General features: G+C 35.7%; 1 long non-coding RNA gene across 1 annotated transcript; it reads right to left on the bottom strand.

Annotated features, from left to right (window-relative positions):
• Positions 1-3,758, bottom strand: LOC105371959 (uncharacterized). Its single transcript, XR_935093.3, has 3 exons — positions 3,263-3,758; positions 2,641-2,762; positions 1-1,566 (listed from the first exon to the last, which is right to left on the bottom strand). It is a non-coding gene; the product is annotated as an uncharacterized LOC105371959 (long non-coding RNA).
• Positions 3,759-5,277: the final 1,519 nt, after the last annotated feature.

Genomic DNA, 5,277 nt, shown 5'->3' with positions numbered 1-5,277 from the left:
TCAGACTAATAAAAGATTTTAATAGAGTGATCAAATATTACATATGTATATTCACATTAATTTTTTACATAAAATAATAATAATCTCATTTAACAAGAATAATCAGTTAATGATAGAAATAAGGAAAGAAAAAACTCATATTATTAATAAAACACTCAGAAATACTTTTAAATGGAAGTTTACATCTTCTCTAAAAAGACCTATAGTATTTCACTGACAACTACAGATGAATAATGAATGTTGAGAAGACTGATAGAACAAATGCAAATTCCTGCCTACTTAAAACGTCAGGAAACAACAGGTGCTGGAGAGGCTGTGGAGAAATAGGAACACTTTTACACTGTTGGTGGGACTGTAAACTAGTTCAACCATTGTGGAAGTCAGTGTGGCGATTCCTCAAGGATCTAGAACTAGAAATACCATTTGACCCAGCCATCCCATTACTGGGTATATACCCAAAGGATTATAAATCATGCTGCTATAAAGACACATGCACACGTATGTTTATTGCGGCACTATTCACAATAGCAAAGACTTGGAACCAACCCAAATGTCCATCAATGATAGATTGGATTAAGAAAATGTGGCACATATACACCATGGAATACTATGCAGCCATGAAAAAGGATGAGTTCATGTCCTTTGTAGGGACATGGATGAAGCTGGAAACCATCATTCTCAGCAAACTATTGCAAGGGCAAAAAAACCAAACACCACATGTTCTCACTCATAGGTGGGAATTGAACAATGAGAACACTTGGACACAGGAAGGGGAACATCACACACTGGGGCCTGTCATGGGGTGGGGAGAGAGAGGAGGGATAGCATTAGGAGATATACCTAATGTAAATGACGAGTTAATGGGTGCAGCACACCAACATGGTGCATGTATACATATATAGCAAACCTGTATGTTGTGCACATGTACCCTAGAACTTAAAGTATAATAAAAAAATTCTAAATTTAACACAATTGAAATTAACATTATAATGGGTAATTTATAATTCTTAAAGTTCTTTGGAAAATAAACAAATATCATTTTTAAAATTGTATAAACAAGAGCTAGGATTAGCCCCAACTTTGTAAAGTTTTAATAATTCAATAAAATATATTTAAATCTATATAAGTGGAAAAGTAAAACTAACTTTAACATGACGCTTTTATATATGAAGCTATTTTATGATAAAGGCATGTAGCAGGATGGGTTGTTGGAAAAGGGTTAGAATGTTCACTAAATCCTGTTATGAGAATTACTTAGAGTTTAAATTAGGTTATCAAGATCATATCTCATTTTTTTGATTCTTCTTTTGTATGTGATTATTTTATTCTCAGTTTACCCCGTATAATCACAAACATGACCATGGGCAACTTCAGGCAGAGAAAAGGACATATTCCCCCTCGGGCTGTACAGAAGTACCTGGTTGATTTTCACTGGACTGAAGGCAGATACCCATTCGTGGATAAATTCATTGACTCTGTCCAAGTCCAGGTTACTTATGTACAATAAAGGTCCCTATGCTACTATCCAAGGAAGGTTGACTTACTCCCCAATGGAAAATCAGGATGCTGTTAACAGAGGAAGAGGGAATTAGTTTGATACAGGTAAGGAACAACCGATATCTGCAAGAGTTAGTAATTTAAAAACAAACACAAGCTAACAAATAATTAAATTTACGGATGCATCTAAGGGCAAATTGAAAAAAATCAAATCATAAGAAATATGAAATGAGATAAATATAAATATTTGTTAAATTTCCAAGGAGAGAGGAATTGTTCTGAGCTTAATATTGATGGAGCAATCTATGAAGTAAAGATGAATACATAGAAATGCAAACTGATTTTTCTATATTCAAAATAAATACAGCCACATTCTCTAAAATTTGTCATTTTTTTCAGATTTTGATATTTTTGCTATATAAAAATTTTTATTTTTATTTAACCAAACATGTAGGTTTCTATCTTTTTTCTCACTGATTTTTATACTGAAAAAGTCTATCTCTCACTCATAGCCCCAATTAAATATTAACAACAAATTTTTGCAATAAAATATGAAACAACATAAACAGAAGCATAGAGGGTGAGCTAAAGTGTAATAGATAAGCATGATATAATATTATTTATCCATTGCTAACATTCTATATGTAAAGTAAATAATACTTTGCATAGTGAAAATCTAGAAATAAAAATAAAGGAAGAAAAGGGGTATTGAGAAAGTAAAACTTGAATAAAAATTAAAGTAGGTGAAGGAGCAAAGCATGAGAATGGGTAGAGGAAGAGCCATGGCAGAGGAAACTGCAAGTGAGTTACTTGCAAGCCTGACACATTTGAAGACAGTGTAATAAAGCAAAGTGAGAAACCAGTTTTAAAAATTTAGTAAAAAGAATAATGAATATATTTGTGCACATACACTCTCAATCATGTATAAATATGTATAGAAAACTCCTAGTTGGAAAACTAGAAAATGATAAAAGTAGTACTAAGGATGATTTTGTTCAATTTTTGCTTTTCTGTCATTTCAATTTTTTACAAAAAACATATTTTCCTTTTACACGAGTTTTCCTTTTAAAACTCATTGAACAGGTACAGATTTAGCAACTGAAAGAATTGCACAATTTAAAACCATGAAATGAAACCACATACCTGATATTAATTACCAAATTTCCAATGTAAAAGCATGCCGAGTTCTTAGTCTTGTACAAAAACTGATGAATACAGATTCTCATCAACAAAATGTTTTTCATTCTCTTCCCAGAATTGCTCAGCTAACAAATAACCAGACAAGCAACTTACTGTCTTATGGTGAGAACATCAGCCTTGTGCTTAATTTAAGTTATGACTTCATAGCAACTTGCCAAATGTGAGATAATATCTTCTCATTCCTATTAGTTCAGTGAAATATCTATAAAGGCACATTTGAACCCTTAGAAGATGGCAAGGCTCAGTCCCTGAAATGGGATTATAGTTCCTTCTTTGCCAGAGAGTTGACGGACGGGTATCAATCCCATACCTCCAGAGCACAGAATGTGTGCACAGCAATTACACAGGGACAAATGTGTTTAAAGAGCACACTCTGGTTCTGCCAGCTAGATCAATAAGTGACAACCGAGAGTTGGAATTATCAAGACATGGTGGGTCTGGAAATTGCTTTTAACCTTTGCCTTCATTTATTACTGCCAACTCCTTAGAGGAAACATTTAAAATATGAGTGACCAAATGGCACTATGACATTCTAAGTGGGCTACTATGTATGTAGATGGGTTACCGGAATTGTCGGGTCTTAAGCTGAGTCTCTTTCTCTTCACATATCATCTCCAGCACATCCCGAAGAACATAGGTGGAAAATGTGTGGTCTGAGTTGTTTTTTCACATGCTGGATGCCTTCAGGTAGCCAGAGACATGTCCACAGAGAGAACAGCACATGCTAAGTATTTTGAAAGGGCGATAAAATGCTTAGTATTCAGTTTGCTTTTAGTTTGTACTGAGCAAGGATTAATCTGAGCTGGTGCCTTTGCCCTCAGCTGAACTCAACCTGGAATTATATCACCCTCACAGGTTCCTGTGATCCAGCCAAATGTTTATTTGCATAAATATAGCCAATAATTGCTTCTTTCAGTTCTGTTTATTCCTCGTTACCATTGGTGATGTATTCATTGTTTCTTTTGGCTCTGGGAATCAGTTAGGGTAACATTAGCTGCCATAACCACCAGTGATTAACACCAAAAAAGCTTATAGTGCGATAGTTCCAGTTTACAGTGCAATATAGACATACCTAGCCACTAGGTGAATTTCTTCCACATAATCATTTAGGGATTCAGGCTTCTGCTAACTTGATGTTCTGTCATCTGCTAGAGCCCCCAGAGTCCCCTGCATCAAACCCGTGAGAGGAAACCAGAATGAAAATGCTCCAACTGATTCTTATACACTGTACGTTGAAACCATGTCCTTTCTAGTCTGATTTCATAGGCAAAAAGTAGTCATATGCCCATATGGCATATTGTTGCAGTGGGACTGGGAAATAGAGTTTCTTGCTAAGCAGTTTGTCACTTAAGAGTTTCTGGAAGATGGAATGTGAATTTTTAGGTGAACAGCTAGTTACCTCTGCCAGAGTGACTCTGATTGGGTTCTTGTTAATCTTTAGCAATCTCTAAAAATGGTGTGTCAAAGTGCCAATCCTTTCCCTTCTGGGATCAGAACTTTGTTAGGGTAAAGTTTGGAGGGAGAAAAATGACTGCTGACTTTCTTCCAACCATCTCAAGTCCCAGAGCATAGGGTGGTAGACATGTCCTTCACCTGCCCACACAGTTGGGGAAGGACCTATTGCTGGCTCCCTTAGGCAACATCTAGAGATAATAAACTCTTCACTGTTGGTAGCCTTTCCCAGCATTTTCCTCAATAAATATTTCTTATTAGTAATAATCTTAAAATCTTGAGCTGAGGCAGCCTCATATACTAGAAAGAGCATGGGCTTTGAGAATAAGCAAGGGCAATAATAACAACCTGCTTTTGAATTCCTGTTCTTGTTTACTAGTATATGCCCTTGGGTGATGAAATGAAACTGAGTCTGGAATTCTCCATCTTCAAATTGGCAGTACATCTGGTCTCTCATTGAGCCTGACACATTTTTGGCACTATGTAAACCATGTCTATTTTCCCTCGCAGATAACAGTTAACAACAAATTGTTCAGAAGTAGAGCATTAGAGAGGTAAACTTTCAAGATGTTCTTCTAGTAATTAATATACCTAAAGCCAGTAAGCTATAAGGCTCATCATAATCTCAAGAGAAATATTGATTCTTCGGTATTTTTTTAAAAGGAGAAAAATACTTTTAAGGTCCACTATAGTACTCTTTAGTTTTTCTGGTAAATTAATTTGAAGGCTGAAGAGATGGAGGAATCATAAACCAGGATGAATGTAAATGTTCTCCAGTCATCCTTTGGAGGAGTAAGAGTGACGCTGGAGCCTTGTTTTGTCATGGCTGGCAACATGTCCCCCTTCGGCAGGGCAACAGCTATCATTTGTACTTTTCTGTGAGGTAACATTCAATTGTTCATTACCATTTATTTCTTCCCAGTCCAGAAGTATGGAATGAGTTGTTTCTAGGCAATCTGCTTCCATTCATCCTCCTTAATCATGAGAAGACAGTATTGAGACAATTACTTTATTCTATTCTTAAGCACTGTGTGCTATTTCATGCCAAGCATTGTGCTTGCAATTGTAAATAAGACATCTCTGTATTTTTGAACTGCTTATTGCACAACTCTATTTGGATGTCCCTTG

Source organism: Homo sapiens, chromosome 18, assembly GCF_000001405.40.
Source record: "Homo sapiens chromosome 18, GRCh38.p14 Primary Assembly".
In the NCBI taxonomy this organism is placed as follows: Eukaryota; Metazoa; Chordata; class Mammalia; order Primates; family Hominidae; genus Homo; species Homo sapiens.
Note: the sequence above shows the minus strand (reverse complement) of the source record. Positions and strands in the feature narration are given on the sequence as shown.